The sequence below is a fragment of the Homo sapiens genome, chromosome 17 (assembly GCF_000001405.40).
Source record: "Homo sapiens chromosome 17, GRCh38.p14 Primary Assembly".
NCBI classification, from domain to species: Eukaryota; Metazoa; Chordata; class Mammalia; order Primates; family Hominidae; genus Homo; species Homo sapiens.
This window is the reverse complement of record NC_000017.11, coordinates 41399589-41420072: the sequence shown is the minus strand read 5'-3', so window position 1 is coordinate 41420072 and position 20484 is coordinate 41399589. Positions and strand designations below refer to the sequence as shown.

Below are 20484 nucleotides of genomic sequence, written 5' to 3'. Positions count from 1 at the left end.
TTGGTCCTGGGGCACTTCTAGGCTTTAGTTTTCTCTAGAGAGATGCTGCCACTGATGTTTCTGTTGTCTATTCTGCTGCTGTCTTGGAGGTGCTGGCGGTGAGGGCTGCCGCTGCCATCAGAGCACTCCAAGTCCCTGCCTGCCTCTCAGATGTGGCTTTGGCACTGGCCAAGGTGGTTCACAGCCAGATGCAGTTATAAGCAGGTGGAGGAGCAGCCCAGAGAGGCTGCTGCCTCCCACGCCATGCTAGTCAGTTTACGGCAAGCACCAAGTGTGTCCAGAAGAATGAAACTCTTGGGTCTCAGCTTGTCCATGTGCCCTGGTGCAAAGAGCAATGAAAAACTGGTCCTTCTTCATGGTGGCATAGTGTGGTGGAGGTGGATCTTCTCTAGGGTCAGGGAAACTTGGGTTCAAATCCCACCTTGGTGACTCTGAAGTGGGATTTGAACCCACCTTGCTGAGTGAAGTTGGCCAGGTCACTGCATTCTCTTGAGACCTATTCCTTGTTTGTGGAAGTAGGATAGTTGTATTTCCCTCTCACTGTGGTTGAGGGGTAATGCATCTAATGTTCCTGGCATCTAGAAGGTGTTCAGTGGATATTGGTTTATTGGGGCTCCCTAGGAACCAGCAGGTACAATCTCTTCCTCCCAGAGAGAAAAAGGAGCTGAAGAGATAGTAGCAGAACCCACTCTCAGCATCGGGGCCCTAGATTCTACGTTGGTGGCTGGAAAGTTTGGCCATATTCCTTGTTCATGTACATGCAATAATAAAAGCCATCTTCTGTTGTCATTAGGCCTGTTTCTCACTCCAAGTAGCCTAACTGAATCCAAAAAAGCATTCATTGGGCTGTCAGAGGACAAGACTGTTTGGTGGGCTCTTCTAATGAGGAACCCACAAGAGTCATGTTTTAAGAAGTGGCCATGACCCTCCCTGACCCTCAGTGTGATGGGGTTGTGGAGATCCGACCTGTCCCCACCTTTCTTGGCCAGGTCACACCCTTAACAAGCTCTACCTATGAGGTCCCATGGCTAGGTGTGACAGGAGGTGCCACTCAGGTACATAGAAAATGAAGGCTAGAGGCTGGCAGGTGGGTAACCAGTGCAGTCAGGACACCTGGACCCTGGGGTTTTACTCACATTCGTTATCCTAGCCTGAGAGCTTAGGGCTCCCTCTGGTACCAAATCCCAGACATCTTTTCTTGCAAGTGATTCTCCCGCCTGGACATTCTGTGCCTGTCCCTGGCCTCTCTGCCTCACATACTCTCACCGACTGGATGGATATAGCCCTGAATGTGGCACAATAGGCTTTGCTTTGGCCACAATAACTGCAACCAGGTGTCTCTTATTTTCCTTCTCCTGAGGCTTCTGCTCCCTTGGCTGGGGGCCACATCTGGTTCTGAGCCACCTAGTGCTTAGCCCGTCCCTCTTCAGTTCACCAATCCTGCACTGCCTGTGGGCTGATGTGTGATATTTCTTCCCAGCCTTCACGTGGTAACATCAGTTGCGGCTCATGAGGCCCATGCACTTATGTATTTTTTGACACCAAATGCCATTTCTCACAAATTCCAGCAAAGTGGAAAGGAGAAAGGGTAAACAGCTACAGGCTGCTGGGGTGGACACTGCAGTCACCGAGAGAGCTCTGGGGAAGGGCCCACTCCTGCTCCCACCACTGTCTACACTGGGAAGCCAAGAAGATTGAAGTGAATTTCTGGACTTTCCTGAACAGGAGCATTTTTTATTTGGATAGTTTTTTTGTAGACGATGATATGTGATACCTAAGGCTGATGGTGTGTGCCCCACCCTCCCCTCCTTCCCCCCAGCATCTTCTCTTTGTCTTCCTGACCAAGAACAAAATCAATTTCATCTGTTCTCATGGCCACTTATAATCTTCATGAGCTCAGCTTGAAGCTCATGAAGTTCTCAGCCTGTTTAAATTAAACCATTTTTAATGTATCTTTTTTCTACCTAATTCAGTGTTTCATAACCATGCCTTCCCACTTAATAAATGTAAAGATATCTTGCCTTCTCACTTAATGTTTTAACTTTCAAAAATGTAAATACCAAACTCGTATCATGACTAAAAGACAGCTCATTTCAAATACAGGTTATGCTTGTTTTCAAATGACACTTCCTCTAACTAAAATAACTTCCCTGCCATCTGTTTTAGATATTCCAAACATCACCTCCCCACTGGGGCTAGGGGGTGATACACAGACTCTCCCAGTTAGAATCACCGTTCCTATTCAAGTATGAGCCCCTGGGCTAAGCTTACCTGCTTTACCTGCCTGCCAGGTGTAATACGTTTTAGCTTCTGAGGAGGAGGGTTTCTCAGTGACCCAGGCTGCTCTGCCCTGGCCCCAGGCCTTTGTCTGTGACCCCCTAGTGGCCAGTCCCAGGTAGCTATATTTCACACTCATCCTCTCCAAACTTGAATGCAGCTTCTCCCGCTCTAGCCAGCTCTTTCCTTTGACTTCTCAGCTCCCTTGAAGCACACAATTGTCCTAGGAACTTGGGGGTGACCTTGGGGCCACTTTCGGTTTCTCTTCCTCCTTTGACCCCATATACAGTAATTCTCCCTGTCTTGTAGAGTCCTTCTGCAGCATCTATGTCCTTTGTGCCTTCCTTTACTTCAGCACTGCTGGTGGCTGGTTTTGGGTTCCATCACATCCTGCCTGGATTCTTGTAAGAGCCTCCTCCTGCTCTCTTCTGTGCCAGGTTTGTTCTGCACACACCACCAGCCCTTCACTCTTTTGTGTTCTATTTATTGAGTAAATATTATGTACAAGGCACTGTATTGCATGCTAGAGAGCATACGAAATGAAGATGGAGTGTTCCCACTCCAGGGTGCACACTGGGCAGTGGTAAAAGGAAAATGGGGCCGGGCGCAGTGGTTCACGCGTGTAATCCTAGCACTTTGGGAGGCCGAGGCAGGTGGATCATCTGAGGTCAGGAGTTTGAGACCAGCCTGACCAACATGGTGAAACCTCGTCTCTACTAAAAATACAAAATCAGCCAAGCATGGTGGCACATGCCTGTAATCCCAACTACGCCAGAGGCGGAGGCAGGAGAATCACTTGAACCCGGGAGGCGGAGGTTGTAGTGAGCTGAGATCACGCCACTGCACTCCAGCCTGGGCGACAGAGCGAGACTCCGTCTAAAACAATAACAACAACAAAAACAAAACAAATAAACAAACAAAAAAGAAAATGAAATGTCAGGGCTTTCTAAATTTATTATGCCGAAGTGAAAAATTAAGCCTTGGAAACTGGGTCATGCGATATAGCTGTTCTTCTTCTCTCCTGCAAAGACAGTTGCTTCCTGACTTGTGTGTTGACATGTTGCATAGTAACCAGACTCCCTTGTCTGTATTCAAACCTAGAGTAAATGACATTGGAGAAGGAGGCCCTTGTGACTGCTACCTTTTTACAATAGAATGTTAAGCAACCCCATGAGAGTGTAATCAATAGCGGTCAATCAGATCTTACATCTGTACACTAGCCTTTGTGTGGAAAACGTCGTAATTCTGTTCAGCACCTCTATTTTTGCCTATATAAGTGATCTTCATTTTCCCCCTGCACTGGGAGTACTGATTGCCATTCTTCGGTGTTCGTGTGTCCCCAGAAGACGGCTCTCACATGCCATGCTTGAAAAAACTCTTTTTAACCAGATCCTGAGCCTTTTGATTATTTTAGGTTGACAGGCACTGGATTAATTTTCTAAAATTTCTCCTTTGATTCTCTCTTTCATCTGCTCAAAAACCTCCAGAGGACTCTGTTCTGTTTCTAGCTCTTCAGGCAAGTTGTGTGGCCCAGAGCAGGAACTTCATAGCTATTTGTTGAATAAATCCAGTTGGACAGCTGGCGTCTAGGAGTGTTGGCCTTGTGTTCAGTCCAGAGTCCACTATCTGGCCCTTTCTGGGTCACTGGGCAGAGCAGAAAGAACTTGGGCTTCAGGGTCAGGCAGACCTGGGCTGACATTTCAAGGCCCATACTTTTCATTCCAACTTGGTGAGTTCAGACAACATCCCTAACTGCTCTGAGCTTTGTTTTCTTTACTCTACAGTGGGATACTTGTAACTGCTTTGTAGTGTGGTTATAAGGATGAAAAGACACAACTATATGGGAAGCATATGGTATAATACTTGGTGGCACATAGTAGGTGGTCAAATAATAACACAGTAGGCCGCACATAGTAGGTGTCTATCTAATTTGCGTGTATAGATTTGTGAATGTGTGAGAGAGAATTAAGTAAAATATTGTATACCAAGTGCCAAGCTCGGTTCCCTTCACATAATAGATGTCAATAGATATTACTTCATGTGACCTTTATCTGTCCTTTATGAACATTGTTTTTCGCGTGGACTGGCCTCTTCCCCACAGGCATAAGCAACACAGTGTGCATATTTTCCTTTTTGTCTCTCCTCTCTCCTTCATCCTAGATATCCTCCTAAAACAAACCTCAGCAAAGAAGAGCAAACTAGGAAAACAAACAGAACTTGCTTATTACATTGGAGAAAACTGCATGCTAACTGATTTGAAGTACAGTAATCCAAACACTGGCTCCTCTTGAATTCATCAAATCCTGTTTTGTGACCTGGTGCTTCATTCACCTAGGATGAAGTCACCACAAAACTTGTCTATTGCTATGGAGCAGTGATTCCGTCTTCCAAGGGTGGTCCCCAGACCAGCAGCATCAGTGTCATGTGGGAACTTGTTAGAAATGCAGACTCCCTGGCCTGACCCCAGACCGCTTGAATCAGAAACTGTGGTGTGGGGCCTGAAAACCTGCATTTTTTGCAAGCCCTCTGGGTGATTCTGATGCTGGTTAAAGTTTGACCACTGGTGGAGATGTTATGAAAATAGAAGCAGACAATATTTTTAGCATAGAGGAGTACAAACTTCACTCTTACAGGCTTCAGAAATGCAATTTGGCTCTTTGGGTTGACATTTTGTGTCATTCAAACTCATTTCTTTGGGGGTCCAGTACTTGGGACAGGCCTGTTGTTGGCTGTTGCATTTCTGAAGTTGTACCCAGTTCTCTTGAGCCCACTTCTGCTTCTGAGTGTTTTCTTGTGTTCATCCTCTTTTTTTTTTTGTCACCCAGGCTGGAGCACAGTGGCTCGATCTCGGCTCACTGCAACCTCCACCTCCCAGGTTCAAGCAATTCTCCTGCCTCAACCTCCCGAGTATCTGGGACTACAGGCGTGTGCCACCACACCCAGCAAATTTTTGTATTTTTAGTAGAGATGGGGTTTCACCATGTTGGCCAGGATGGTCTCGATCCTTGATCTCGTGATCCGCTTGCCTCGGCTTCCCAAAGTGCTAGGATTACAGGCGCGAGCCACTGCGCCTGGCCTGTTCATCCTCTTTTTCTGGAAAACTGTCTCCCATCTTTCCTGCCCATCCAAGTCTTCCCAATCTTAAGTTCCAGACAAAGTGTCTTTGATGGCCCCTCTATATCTCTAAGCTCCAGTCACTTCTCCCTCCACTGAGTTACGTGACCTCTTTTTCTGCTCTCAGCTTTTTGAGGGTGGAAATTTCTCCTTTTCATCTCTGCATCCCCCATCCCCTTGAGAAGGGCTTTGGTATAACAGGAGTTCAGGAATATCAGACATTCAGAGTAAGTCACCAGGATAAGGCAAATCATGCCTTGGAGAATATCACCCACATCTGTATAGAGTTACAGAGAAGGGTCCCCATGCGTCTCATTGACTGTATATGGGACCAACTGGTGGCTGGCTGGTTGTCATGGCTGAATAGCCAGTGGCTCCAGCATGGTTTACACAAAAGTCCTGGGCAAGAAGGTTTTCTGGCCATCTACTGGCAGCCTTTCAATCTAAACTAATCAGAAATCCCACTGTACAGCCCGCACTTAAGAGTGATAGTAACTGTTACATCATGGAGCATGTCCAGGGAAACATTCCTGGGATGGCAAGGGGACTTTGAACCATGCTGAATGCAGAACCAGGAGTAAGAAATCTCACATCTGCCACAAAGAGCTGAGAATATGGCAGAATGATTAGATTTATCCTGTATGGGACACCATGGGGGAGAACTGGAGAGTAAATGAACTAAAGGGCCAACTCTCTGACTTACTTGCCAATGTATTACTAGCCTCCAGCTCAGCCCCTGGTTGGCACAGAGTAGGTACTTCATAGCTATTTGTTGAATGAATGAATGAATGACCCAACAAAAGCTATAGGGAGAGGTAACACGAAGGTAGATTTGTGAAGACTTTCTAAAAATTCTCTATAATGTGAGTGCCTTAAGGCTGAGCTAGCTGCTGTTAATTTTCTGGATACCAGTGTCTTGCACAAAGCCTGGGAAGCTGTTTGTAAGCCACAGGAACTGATGGTGTAAGCTCTCCTGGAAAATGGTGGACTAGATGACTAGTTGGAGGAAGGTCATCGAAGGGATTTAATGCAAATGGGTACTAGACTAGAGGACCCTGAAGTCCCTTTCGTCCTGGAGATGCTATGTTGTAGTGCCAGCTGAAACACACTTGCTGCTTCAAGGGCCCTCGTGGTGAATTCATTCATCTTAGGAATGCGGTCAAATTAGCATCTTTGTTAGCATAGACTGGAAGCTGGCTAGCTGCCCTTTTCCAGGGTGTATTGAACAAATGGCCACTGGCTTATTTGTTTTAGAAATAGGGGAGGCCATAAAGGTTCTGATGCTCTGAGTGTGTCTGAAGATTAAGGAAATTTAAATTTTGTTCTAGAGTCTCCCAAGCAATGGATAATCAAGGTAGATGCATTTCAAAGAAATGCAAAAATATTTCAAAAGATGAAAGATCAAAGTTCTTGAGTACGTATCTTCTGTAAACAAGGGTGATGAGGGACTCAGTCTGGTGAAAGGGTCAATAGAAAGGAAAGATGCCTGGGAAGGTGGGTGAGGCCCTGAGAACAGACACCATAAAGTGTTAATCACTGCCTGCCTTAATTAGCCTGTAGACTCCAGTACACAGAAGCATAATTTTATTTTCTGAAAATTGCAAACCATCAGTTTTATTATGAGCCGTTTTTTTCTCACTCCCAAAACGCTTATCTGTTTCACGTATGCACAGGGAAAGTCTTAATTGCCAACATCTGTTTTATAGGTTGTGTATTGATTTTAATTCAGTTCAAAATACTTAAAAATTTTTAAATTAGATTTCTTATTTAACCCAAGGAGTATTAAAAACTGTGTTAGTTTTCAAACACCAAGATTAATTTTGAACTTAGGTTTCATTTTCAGTTTTCTAATAATTTGTGTAAAGGAACTTTCCACCTTTTTTCTGCTACTTTCCTTCAAAAGGAAGCTGGCTATTTATTTTTCCTTATACTTGAAAGTCGTCTTCCAGGGCAGATCCCTACCTTTCACTCACCTTTGCCTCAAGACCATGGTCCTGGTATTTAAGACTTTTCACAACCTGGACTCAATGCAACTTTCCGGGGCTTGGGGATAATGTCTCCATTATAAATACCAACACAACTAGACTATTTTCCATTTTCCAAATGTTTGATTGTGTTTATTTTGTTCTCTATGAGAGAAGCTCATTCCCCAACCCTTTATAAAAAATATCATTCAAAACATATTTGGAAAATCCCCTACTCCATGAAGTCTTTTTCCGGTCTCTCAGTGAGCTCTCTTCCACCTCGAAATCTTTGCAGCTGTCTTTTAAAAAAAAAAAAATACTTCCTTTTACTGTCTTCATAATATCAAGATCATTTACTTTTTTATCTTTCTTATTAAAATCTAAAATCTCCTTCTTACAAGACAGCATAGATGTGCGTTTGTTCCGCACTGGGCACTCTACAAATATCTATCAAAACAAACAAATCATGATTTTTCCCTTTCTTCAATGTGCCTGATTGACTAATATTTTAGGTTTTGCTGCATTGGGAACATTCAGAGGTAGGAAAAGAATGTGGGAGTGAGAGAGACTTGCAGGACATTTTAGGAGCCTTTAGTTCTTGATTATTTCATAGACATAAGCTGACAGAAGGGGAAAGATTTCACAGCCACAGAAAGTGGGCTGCTTGAAGAAGACCTTGTTTTCTCTGTTTTCCAGGACCCTGCAGTGATGGGAAGAAAGAGGTTAGGGCCTCTTTCATGAGCTCATTAACTCTTTATAGGAAACAAAAACCACTGACTAATAGAGTGATTGTATAACAATTGACATAAATATTAATGAGGAAAATGCCAGTTTTCTTGCACCAACACCCACTAAGGCTTATATAAGGTCTACAGGAGAAGGAAGATTTTGGTGTCAAGCAGATCCAACTGTGGGCAAAGCAGGATCTTGCCTTTTAGCACCATGACTTCTGACCATTGCAGTTCCCTCCTCAGCGGGCAGGTTTCAGAGGCCAACGCTGCCTCTCTGTGCCTCTTGGCTAATGTGGCACATGCCAATCGAGTCCGTGTGGGGTCGACTCCCCTGGGCCGCCTCAGCCTCTGTCTGCCCCCAACCTGCCACACCACTTGTCCCTTGCCAGGGACCTGCCACATTCCTGGCAACATCGGAATCTGTGGGGCCTACCGCGAAAACACCCTGAACGGCCACGAGAAGGAGACCATGCAGTTCCTAAACGACCGCCTGGCCAACTACCTGGAGAAGGTGCGCCAGCTGGAGTGGGACAATGCAGAACTGGAGACCAAACTCCATGAGAGGAGCAAGTGCCACGAGTCCAGCGTGTGCCGAAACTACCAGTCCTACTTCTGCACCATCCAGGAGCTCCAGCAGAAGGTGAGGTTTGCGGTGCACCAGATCAGGGGTCAGGAATCTGCTTACTGCCTGTCGGCCAAATCCGGCCCACCACCTGCTTTTGCAAATAAAGTTTTATTGGTTCATGGCCATGCTCATGCATTTGTATGTTGTCTGCAGCTGCTTTTGTACTACAGTGGCAGAGTTCAGTCATTGTAATGGAGACTGTAGGGTCTGCAAAGCCTAAAGTATTTACTATCTGACCCTTTACAAAAAAAGATTACTGACCCTGGGTCAGCAGTGGATTTTTTTTTTCTTTTAATGTGGGAAGAGAATCTCTTGAGTGAAGGTGAATGGGAATTTGTAAAGGATGAGATGTAGAATTTATCACTCTAGGATTCTGAGTTCATGCTTACTTAACTTCAGCACATAAAATTCCTAAATCGTAGTCACAAAAATCATGCTATTTTCATGAAAACCATGCAAAAACCGTGCTGAGTTTATGAAAGTTGCAGTATACTGAAACTTCTGGTGCAGTAAACAGGGCAAAAGGAATATTTCCTAACATCCTTGCCAAGGCAGTGTCTATCCACACAACAGCATCAACCTCTTATGCATATCTATTGTCACCTTTGATTATCCAGTTAAAGCTTCTGAAGAGCCTACATCTTAGTTTTGGAGACAAGAAGACAAGGAATGTCAAAATAGGGGTTACAGAAACCTGGCTAGATTCAGAGAAGACCTGTGGGGAGGTTGGACAACCAGAGGAAAGATCTTCTTTAGAACAGATCCTACTTTATCTAAAACATTCATAGCCAGTCCTCTGTTCTGTGGCCTAGTTTTTTTTTTTTTTTTTTTGAGACAAAGTCTCGCTCTGTCACCCAGGCTGGAGTGCAGTGGTGCAATCTCAGCTCACTGCAAACTCTGCCTCCCAGGTTCAAGTGATTCTCATGTCTCAGCTTCCTGAGTAGCTGGGATTACAAGTGTGCGCCACCACTCCTAGCTAACTTTTATATTTTTAGTAGAGATGGTGTTTCACCATGTTGCCCAGGCTGGTCTTGAACTCCTGACCTCAGGTGATCCATCTGCCTTGGTCTCCCAAAGTGCGGGGATTACAGGCATGAGCCACTGCGTCCGGCCAGATCTTCTTATTTATATTGGGCTAAGCATCATATCTGGCAAAATGAAAGCAAGTCTTTGTTATATGTTCAGTTTGCTACTGTCTTCCATCTCCTGGTTCCTTTGACTCTATGTCTTCATCCTTTTCCAAGAAGTCTCTTGCACATCTTCCTTCCCACACCACAAAAGCATCTCTTGCACGTTTGGGAGTTTGTGTTGTCCAGGCGGATGCTGTAGGTTCAACTTCAGCCAATAAAACTTCCTCTCACCTGAGGCTATAGGTGTCTCTGGGATCAGTAAGTCACTTACTGAGCCTACTTTCTTACCCCAGATTCTGTGCACCAAATCGGAGAACAATAGGCTGGTTGTGCAAATAGACAATGCCAAATTGGCTGCAGATGACTTCAGGACCAAGTGAGTTGGGGTTGGACAGGGATGGGAAGGAGCCAAGTGAGAGTTGGGGTTGGATGGGGATGGGACAATGCCAAGTTGGCTGCTTCTGTCTCATGTGGCATCGGATGTCATTGACCCAGACCCCAACCCAGTAGTTATAGCAGAAGAGAACAAAGGGCATTAAGCTCAAGATCCTGAAAAACTATCCGCTCTCCAGTGGTTTAGCATTAACAGTTTACAACATGTGCTAGAATGCATCATCCACCTGGTAAGCAACTTGTGAAGCAGGCGGGCAGGGATAGAATCTCCTCCACAGGTGGGGACCCTGAGGCTTGGGGTGCTGGTGTGACTTGCCAGAAGCCATGTGGGTACCGAGTGGCAGAGCTGGGACTTGGCCTTAAATTTTGTACCAAATTTTCCTTTCTTGAAGCAATTTCCTGTGAAACTGTTGCCTTAATAAGGATATGTTTCTGTGCTGCAGCTTGATTAATTTGTGAGTGCTGATAATTCATAGCAGAAATCATGCTCCATAGCCTAAGATGAAAACATGTGAAAGTCAAAGGGTTGACACCACCTGAGGAGGGTCTACCCTGGGTGCTGGAAGGGCATTGTGTTTTATCATCTTTCTTCGGGGCACTGTGCAAGTCTCACTCTTCTAGAGCTAAAGAAAGCCATTTCCTTCCTCTCATGCTGGCAATGTGGCTTTTACTCTAATAGGGAATCCAGGGTCCCTTTGGGTATGGGGCTTGTAGAGAGGGGCCTGCAGTGATTGCACTGTGTTGCAAATGCCTGGTTACTTTGCCACCTCCCTTTTGGGCCATTGTGTGTAAAGGCAGGTGCTGGCTGTGTGTCCATCACAGTATCCTCAGTACCAGCTGCTCCCCTTGGTTCATCTCAGGTGCTTAGTATTGACTGAGTGGGGAACATCCTGTTGCTTTCTGGGCTTTGAGCACACTACACAGGATAAGCCAACTCACAATTAGATGGCAAAGGGCAGGCCAGTGGACTTACAGCTGCGAGCTGGGAGTCATGTCCTGGTGCCCCTTCCTGCCCTCTAACTGTCACTCCTGCACTTTCCCTGTTACAGGTACGAGAGAGAGCGCTCGCTGCAACAGCTGGTGGAGGCTGACATCTGTGGCCTGCGCAGGGTGCTAGACAACCTCACCCTCGCCAAGTGTGACCTGGAGGCCCAGCTGGAGTCCCTGAAGGAGGAGCTGCTTTGCCTCAAGAAGAACCATGAGCAGGTGTGTGACCCTTGGTGTGATGCATTGAGACTTTCTGGAGGTGAATTCAGGCTCATCTGGGGGGAAAAAACGGAGGCTTCCTTCTGCTTGGGATTGAAGCTTTGCAGGTGAGCTCTGGCTTTTGGTGGGAGATTGCTTCTCATCCACAGCTTCTGGAAGCTGCTAGGCTGGTGCAGGCAGCGGTTTATCTTCAGAGGAGCACAGGGAAATTACTGGGGAGGATGGAAAGTGGGAGTTGAGAGTTTGGGTGAAGGGCAGTTGGGGGCCCTGCAGGCGGGTCATACTCCTCTGATGCCTACAGGAAGCCCACACTCTAAGGGGTCAGCTGGGAGACAAGCTCCGGATAGAGCTGGACATTGAGCCCACCATTGACCTGAGTAGAGTTCTGGGGGAGACGTGAGGCCAGTACGAGGCCATGGTGGAGACCAATCGCCAGGATGTGGAGCAGTGGTTCCAAGCCCAGGTGAGGGGGACTGCTAAGCAGTGGGGATTGGCCTCCATCTGGGCAGGTAGGTGACCATGTTTCTCTATGCTCCAGTCTGAAGGCATCAGCCTGCAGGCCATGTCCTGCTCTGAGGAGCTGCAGTGCTGCCAGTCAGAGATCCTGGAGTTGAGACGCTCGGTGAACGCCCTGGAGGTGGAGCTTCAGGCTCAGCACACACTGGTGAGTCCCTCTGCACGCATGGGAGACCCAGCTTGGCTCCCACTACCCATGAGTAGCTCTCTGGGGTCAGTACAGGCCTCGAATACCAACCACGGACTCAGCTTAAACCTTGGTTTCAACTCTTTTGGAAGCACTTCCCTGTAGATGTGGATGCTGAGTGAATCAACATTAACTTAGGTCAGAGGGCTCTGATCTTAAAGGTCTACCATGAAGTGTGTTAGTTATTCTGGCTGAAGACAGCTAAAGGGAGTTAGATTGCTCTCTGGACCTGGCAATGTCTTGGGGTGTCACAATCTTAAGAGGTTGGAGATCCATGATTTTTAACTTGCTTCCTCCTTTCTTTGATATTATAGAAGGACTGTCTACAGAACTCCCTGTGTGAAGCCGAGGACCGCTACCGCACAGAGCTGGCCCAGATGCAGAGCCTCATCAACAATGTGGAGGAACAGCTGTCTGAGATCCGGGCTGACCTGGAGCGGCAGAACCAGGAGTACCAGGTGCTGCTGGATGTGAAGGCCCGGCTGCAGAATGAGATTGCCACATACCGGAACCTTCTGGAGAGTGAGGACTGCAAGTACGTACCCTGTTGTCTATGTCAACACCGTGTGCAAAAACAGATAACTTCTCTTGGGAATGACCTAAAAGGAGCTCTGGAGGCCAGGTGGGGGTGGCATTGCAGATCCCATCTTTGGAGACAAACTTGCTACCACTAGGCCTGGTGAGCTAATGCCTGCCTAGGCGTAGGTGAGGGTGTACAGGAGTTTTCAGGTCATGGCATTTGTTTTGCTGACCACGTTGTGCTCCCAGTTGCTGGCTACTCCCATAGAGGGCTAAAATACTGAATGCCCAGCACATTCAGGTTTTGCTAAATTCTCTCCAGGAGAAGTATTCCAATAACGAGTATTCTTTGTGCTCATAGCATTTAAAGTATTGCTAAGGGCATGTGCACTGACTCTTTCATTTTAGTTCCACAATAGCCCTGTGAAAAGCATCAGAGGGCTGATATACCCCTTTAAGCACTAAGGAACACTATGAGGGGCTGTGTTTAAATGGAATCAGTGGCTGACATCTGGACCATTCTTGTTCCTCTGGCCTTTCTGCCTTTCTCTCTGCTGTGTTCCTTCCATATGGGACGTGACCCTGGCCTGGCACACAGGTACACTGAGTTCTGGCCCCAGCTCCACTGTGGACTGTGGGCACGTCATTGCCCCTTTCAGGCTTAGAGGGACCTCTAAGGTCTAAGGTCCTCTTTTGCACTTTAATTCTAAAGTGTCTATAATATACTTTTGTCTTTCACATACTTCTCATGCCAATGTTTCAAACACCTTTTTTCTCTATGCAGATTTCCCTGCAACCCGTGTGCAACCCCAGCCTTCAGCACTCCTAGTCCAGCCCCTGCAGCCTGCGCCCCCTGCTCCCGGGCCACCCATGGGCCCTGCTCATCAACTGGATACTGACACACTCCTCAGCCCGAGGTGCTGGGAAAGGGGAGGTGTCTTCAGCTCGTTAGGCTTTGCTCTGCAGGCCTGCTAACCTGGGCCTTGCCTCCCTGGCCAGCCAGGCAGGAGACTGAAGAGAGACAGTGCCACTCTGTGGATAGGTGTTTGAATCCAGCAGCTCAGCCCCTATGGCTGGATTTGTTTCTTCCCCTCAAGGTGTCCCAAGTGCTCCATTTTCTCTCTTCTGTTGCCTCCTGATCTCTCTGAGATGGGGCAGGCACTTTTGTTTTTATTTTGCTATTAAACTTCGCTTCTGCAGCAGAATGAGCCCAGTGCAGTCCAGCCTCAGCATCTCCGTCCCATGCTGAGAGCCTTGCTGGGAACTCCTTGAGCCACATGCTTCTGTAGACGGGGGTTGTGGCTGGCTCGCCAGAGTGGTTCTGGGAGATGGCAAAGCCAGTGAAGGCTAGAGTTAAAAATGGGACTGCGGCAAAGTGGCACAGAGGAGAGATACCCAACCTTGGACCTCACCAAGTGTATTTGGAGACAGATTTACAGATAGAGCTTTTAAAATATAGACGCTAAGTAAAATTTCCCTTTTATCTGGATAAGCCACCTGGTCCTTGTGTAAAGGAAGAGCTCAAATCTGCGGCACCACAGACCGTTGCAAAACTCTGAAAATATTAACTGATGGTAATCGCCATCAGTCTAGAAAGGCCCAAACAACCTGACCCGTCCAAGCTCCCCAGTAAGCTCCACTGGTAAGTCCTGGCAGCTGTCTGGCTTGGAATTTGTAGACAGTAGAACATGAATCAGAAGCCCCAGAACAGGTAACTTAAATTGAGCTTTTAGGATGACATGCCCATTATGAACAAGGCACTGGCTGGGGCTTCGCCGACATTGTGTCACAGGGCACCACATCAGCCCTGCAAAGAAGAAGCAGCTGTTATTATTCTCAGTTGGTTACTGAGTCAAGACTTGAAACCTAGTCTCTTTGAACCAGATCCAAAGCCCGTTCTTTGGAAGCTTTGAGGGGGAAACAAATTAAACATGAGAAGGTTTAGGACAGTGGTTCTTAAAGCGTGGTCCGCCAGCAGGTAGCACTGGCATTACCTGAGAACTTGCTAGACATGCACATTCTTGAGCACCACCCCTGACTTACTGAACCAGCATTCTGCTTTAGCATGACTTGCAGGTGATTCTGATGTTGGTTCAAGTTTGAGAAACACTGGGTTAGGAAGTTTATTTGAGGAATGAGCCCTTGACTAGCTAGACCCTCTACAGAAAGGGCTGGCCTTGCCGTCCTGATATGTCCTCCAGTGAGGAATCCCTCATACCATCAGATCAGGATAGAGCCTTTCTCTTTTACATTGCAAAACTCTGAAAATGTTACATGATAGTTATTTCTATCAGTCTAGAAAGGCCCAAACAAGCTGACCCATCCAACCTCCCCAGTAACCCCCATTGGTGAGTCCTTATGGCAACTGTCTGTCTTGGAATTTGCAGATGGTAGAACATGAATCAAAAGCTCCATATTTTGATAGCCGTGGCTGAGAATCAGCACATCTCCAGAATTCAGCATCACAGCTGGCCAGAGAAGAGAAGCAGTGAGTTCCCTATCCTTGGAGACAAGCAGAGGCTTCAGAATCACTGATGGGGATGTTGAGGGGAACACTTAGGGAACTGATGGGGCTGGTTGAGATGGCTGTAGCCCCCCTAACTCTGTGCGTCCCTGCTTTCTATGTCTTATTGATCAGTGAAACCACAGGCATTGAAGTGGAACCACCAAATCTACTTTAGGAGCTGGTTTTGGTCTTCCCTTTCCCTCTGTGAATTCTCTGAATCACTGTAGTTTGCTGAAAAATTTACAAGTACAGCTGGTTCTGGTTTAATCCAGGTCTTCCTGATACAGCGGTGTGGTGCTGGAGTGACCACAGTCCCGAGCCCCAAGGCTGGAGGGAGCTTAAGTGAGAATCTTGTTGCTCTGCCTCCAACTGCTCTCAAGCCCAGCGTCCTACTTGTTGGTCACTGCTCATGTACATAGGACTGATCTGCTTGAGAGACACTGGGATTTCCAGCATAGGAAGCCCAAGAAGGGTCAGAGGCTGCCACGCCCTCCCCTCCTCTGTTCTTTTTCTCAAGTGGTAAAACTGTTTTGGCACACGTGACACACCCCTTGGGCACCTACCCAAGAGAAGCTCTCAATAATGAAGAGCCATCTCGATTAGTCTTAATTTAGTACCTGACCCAGCTGCCCTCATCTCCTTTGTACTTAAATAGCTCCTTTCATCCAACAAGTTCAAAGCTGTCTAACAAAATAAACCCACTTATTCTTGCACCATGACGGCACAGGCAAGCATTGTCCTTCCCATTTAAGGGAGAGAGAGAGAAGGTGAGTCATTCAGTGGTTAAGGGATTCTGCTGGTGACATAAAGTGAGTCAGTGGGGCCCCAGGGTGATTGACCTGTGTTTCTTAAGTTCACATCCAGTGCTCTCTCATTTCTAATTAAAAGATTAGCTTTGATGAGACAGTACATGTGTGTGTGTGCACGCACATCTGTGTGTTTGTCGTGTGTGAAGAGTTTCCCTGGAAACCACAGAGGTCATCATTACCATCACCATCACCAGAATCATCATCATCATCATCATCAAATCATATAGCTTCACCATCATCATCATTGTCATAGAACCATATATCCATCAAGCTCTTACTATGAGCCAGGCGCTGGTCTAAATTATAGCTACAGTCATATGGGTAAACTCATTTAATCATTACAACAATCCTAGAAAGCCAATGCTATGGTTTTCTCATTTTGCAGACAAGTAGCCAAGACTCAGAGAGGCTAAGTAACATGCCCAAGGTCACACAGCTATTAGGTGGTGAAGCCAGGATTCAGATCCAAGCAGCCTGCCTCCAGCAACTGTGCTCTTAACTACTGTGCTTTACAGAGGCCAAGTCTCAGATTTTGTCAAAAGGATGATAGAATCATAATGACCCCATTGTTTTGATTCCTTTCCTTGAAGGAAATGAGTATGTTTATGTTAGAAGAAACGTTTCTGAGAATTTATGCCACAAAGGGTGGTACAAGGAATAAAAGTCCTTTAGTATCTCACAGGATCTTGAAGCTTGAGGACTCTGGCAATTTTAATAAACTAGGAGTTGACAAAGAAGCTCAACTCACTTCCTGCCATTTTAAAACCACCTTGTCTATTGAGAAAGAGGAGGAGGGAAACAGAATCCCTATAGATGTTCATTGTTTCACCATTTACAAAACACTTGTTAAAGTACTTTGTGTTGTATCCAAATGGAGGCCCCAAACAACCTTGAGAGAGGGGAACAGACATCACAATCCCCATCGTGCAGTGGGAGAAGTACAGGTGTAGGGAGGTGAAATGCCCCCTCTGCACCTCACAGCAGGTGAGGGGCAGCTCCACGCACTCAACCCCAAGTCTTCTCATTTCTTTTTCCCTGCTCTTTCCCTGTTCCCAACTGTGAGGGCCTTGCTGGAGGTACATGTGGATAAAACTTCACGTTCAGACCACTCTGAAATCCTGGATGGATTTTACGGGAAAGGTATCCTAGGGTCTGGGATCTCCCTAGGGGTGACCTTCTCGGTGCTGTCCCCAATCAGCATTTTAGACTCAGCTTCTGGCCTTTGGCCATTGCCTGGAGGCTCCCCCGTTTGATGCTGGTTATTGCATCCAAACCTCCCTTTCCCTTCCTTCCTCCCTGGTTCTTGGATATCCTATACAACCTGCCTCAGTCATTCACATTGGTCTCCAAGGCCCTCTGCCCTCAGGAGGTTTCTCTGGTCTCAAGGGGGCACAACTGTGTCCACTCACCAGCAGGACTGCGTGCTCCCTCCGTTTCCCTCCACCAGCCTTATTCCCCTTTCTATTTCCTCTGTCAATTTGCTTGATTTACTGTAGGTGCTTTTCTTTTTCTGCCCACACCACATCCCTGGAATGATTTCCTATGCTGCACCTGGCAAAAGCCTCTTTCATTTGCTTTGAAACTTACCTTGATGCCCATGGATCCTGTGGGGATGCCACAGGGCTGAAGCGATGGGCCATCACCACCGCCTCTCCTGTGGTCTCCAAAGCAACAAGAACCAGATGCCAAAACAATTCATTACCCTGCCTGGCTGAAGACTAGATTATTAAAGGGAACAAGATTCTAATGAGAACAGTTCTCTGAATTCTGCTTATGAGTCACTTAGAGAGCGAAGCACAAAAAACTCTTTGGGATCAAGTGCATAACCTGAAATGGCTTCATCCCCTCGCCGTGTGGCTGAAAATCATGAGCTGGATTGGAATGCCCTGAATGGGGTTTGGGTCAGGGGTGGGTGTAGGAAGAAATGGAGTGGGTAGGGGAAGGAGATATTTTTGGGGGAAGGCCCAATCACATTACATTATGCTAGCTGTGGACCTGTCTGCTCAGCAGGACTCAGAGTTCCTGGGGGCAGGGACATGACATACCCCCACTCCCCACCATGTCCCCTGCCCCTGGGACTGTGCCAAGCACACAGTAGATGTTCAACAAGTGACTAATGCCCATAATGTCACATGTACAGTTTTCTTTTTATTTATTTTTAATTTTTAGATGGGGTCTTGCTGTCGCCCAGGCTGGAGTGCCGAGGTGTGATCATGGCTCACTGTAACCTCAAATTCCTGGGCTCAAGCAATCATCCTGCCTCAGCCTCCAGAGCATCTGGAACTAAAATGTGCTCTACCAAGCCTGGCTCATTTTTAAATTTTATTTTATTTTTATTTTTTTAGATGGAGTTTCGCTTTTGTTGCCCAGGCTGGAGTGCAATGGCGTGATCTCCGCTCACCGCAACCTCCGCCTCCCGGGTTCAAGAGATTTTCCTGCCTCAGCCTCCCAAGTGTCTGGGATTACAGGCATGTGCCACCACGTCCGGCTAATTTTGAAACTCATTTTTAATTTTTTTTGTAGACATGGGGTCTTGCTATATTGCCCAGGCTAGTCTTGAACTCATGGGCTCAAGTGATTCTCCCACCTCAGCCTCCCAAAGTGCTGAGATTACAGATGCAAGCCACTGCACCCAGTACCCGTTTTCTATTTACACTGAATACAAACATATTTCTAAATGCCCATCTTACACCTTCTAAATATCTCCTTTCCTTAACTTCTGGCTATTTCTCATACATATTGAGGACCCATCTTGGCCGGAATTGTTCATAAAAAGACATTTTTTTCACCAGAACTATGATTCTTCTGTTTAGTCATATGCTCAGCATAGAGAAGCTGTCTAATCAATGTGTTCTGAATTAAATTGAACTGGATAATGAATGTGGGTTTGATAGCCCATTGACTGCTCAATTTCTCCTTGAATGAAAAAAATTTGCAAATATTCCAACTAGGAAACCAAGAGAATACATGAATTCTACCCCTCGCCTGTGTGAGGTCATGGGGATCTTACAACCCTGGGGTCCCATTTTCCCCACTAATTCAAGGAGCAAATTCACTCAAGCCCATTGAGATCTTGAAAACACTGCAAGAAAGAGGCTAGATTCACAAGAGATGGCAGCATTGTGTTTACTCACCAGCTAGTCTGTCTGTGGTCCCCATCTTGAATTCTTGTGCCATTTCACATTCTGCAGGGCAACCAGCAGGTAGAAAAAGGAATATCTAGGAGTAACCAGAAGATAACAGGGGTTTCTTGTTCTCTCCTACATCTTCTGTGTGGCTGCTGACTGGCCATGACCTGCAGCCAGTGCAGGACTGACTCTCCCTGCTTCATTTCTCCTTTCTTCTCTTCCCACTTCTTATTCCTTCAGGAACAGGCAGTGTCGCTCCTTTTAGACTTTACACTGCCTGTGTGTAGATGGCAGTATATTTCTCAGCCACAAACAATCTCAAGCTTGATCACAGAGGTGATGCTTCGGTCTGGACAGCTTGGAACAATGTCACTTCTTTCAGAGGCCTCAGAAGCTGTAGTCCTGTGTCCATAGATCTTTTATGAGTCAACTCCATTTACGCCTTGCAGGACACTCAGCACGGTGGGCCACTCCTCAGTCTATTGGCTTATTTTGTCTTGGCTTCTTCTCAGCTTTGCATTTTCCAGGTTAGCCCCTCGGAAGCTGGGCTAACTTTGTCTGATTTGCTGCATGATGCTGAGGATTCCTCCCAACTTTTTTCCTTGTCTCTTCTTTTTCTTGTTGTCTCTCCTGGTCTCCGTCTCTTTCCATTTCTCTGATCTCTCTGCATTGTACAAAAATTCTATGTTTGCTCTCTTGTCAATACAATCCTTGAATCTTCTCATACTTAGAGCCTAAACACTCTTCTTTGACTACAGTCTCCATGAGGCTATGCCAGCCAATCAGTAGATAGGAATCAAGAGCTTGGAGAATACTGCTGGCATTTAGTTTGGGCTTAGGTTAAAGCCTGCCTGACTGGGGAAGAAGAAAGGGCTGAGGAAATAGCTGCTTGCTGGAAAGCCAGTGCTTGGAGCAGGCTGACAAGAGTTAGGAAGCAGAAGGCCTATGCTGTCATCTACAAGCTAGTGCTCATCAATCAGATGCACGAGCCTTTCCATTCATCCCAAGCCCAGATGAAATGAGACAGAAGCTCCCCACAGACAGCTGCCACCTAGCCTTGCGTCCTTCCTCTGGAGAGTCTCAGGAGTAACAGTCTGTAGACCCGCCTATTTCTCCCCCTTTAATTGTCTTGTAAGGAAACGAAAGTATTGATTTTATTATAAGTCTAGATCTTCTTTGTAGTGCTGTGGGGCTTTTCATCTGAATGGCATTATAATAAGCAGTGATAATGGTCTTGGGGAGTGTAGATGAAGGACCTTTTATCTGAGACTCAAGCAGAGTGCAACATGAATACCATCATGAAAGCTCAATGGGAGAAGCACTCCAATAAATTGTCAATAAAACGGCAGCTCTGGCTGGCAGCCAAAGCCACAGTGGAG

The 20484-nt window shown here is 46.5% G+C and overlaps 1 long non-coding RNA gene and 1 pseudogene across 1 annotated transcript, besides 2 other annotated features; one reads left to right on the top strand and one right to left on the bottom strand.

Annotated features, from left to right (window-relative positions):
• On the bottom strand, positions 7485–17657 carry LOC100505782 (uncharacterized). The gene is made up of 3 exons (NR_040111.1): positions 17565–17657; positions 9756–11652; positions 7485–7654 (listed from the first exon to the last, which is right to left on the bottom strand). It is a non-coding gene; the product is annotated as an uncharacterized LOC100505782 (long non-coding RNA).
• Positions 8035–8536: an enhancer, noted in NCBI's record as "H3K4me1 hESC enhancer chr17:39567789-39568290 (GRCh37/hg19 assembly coordinates)". NCBI's record gives its function as "activates a minimal SCP1, AML or CMV promoter by ChIP-STARR-seq in primed H9 embryonic stem cells {active_cell/tissue: H9 hESC(primed)}" and the evidence as "EXISTENCE:reporter gene assay evidence [ECO:0000049][PMID:30033119]".
• On the top strand, positions 8341–12690 carry KRT41P (keratin 41, pseudogene; annotated as a pseudogene).
• Positions 15184–16383: an enhancer, noted in NCBI's record as "BRD4-independent group 4 enhancer chr17:39559942-39561141 (GRCh37/hg19 assembly coordinates)". NCBI's record gives its function as "activates an origin of replication core promoter dependent on BRD2, P300/CBP, MED14 and CDK7 cofactors, and independent of BRD4, by STARR-seq in HCT116 cells {active_cell/tissue: HCT116}" and the evidence as "EXISTENCE:reporter gene assay evidence [ECO:0000049][PMID:35650434]".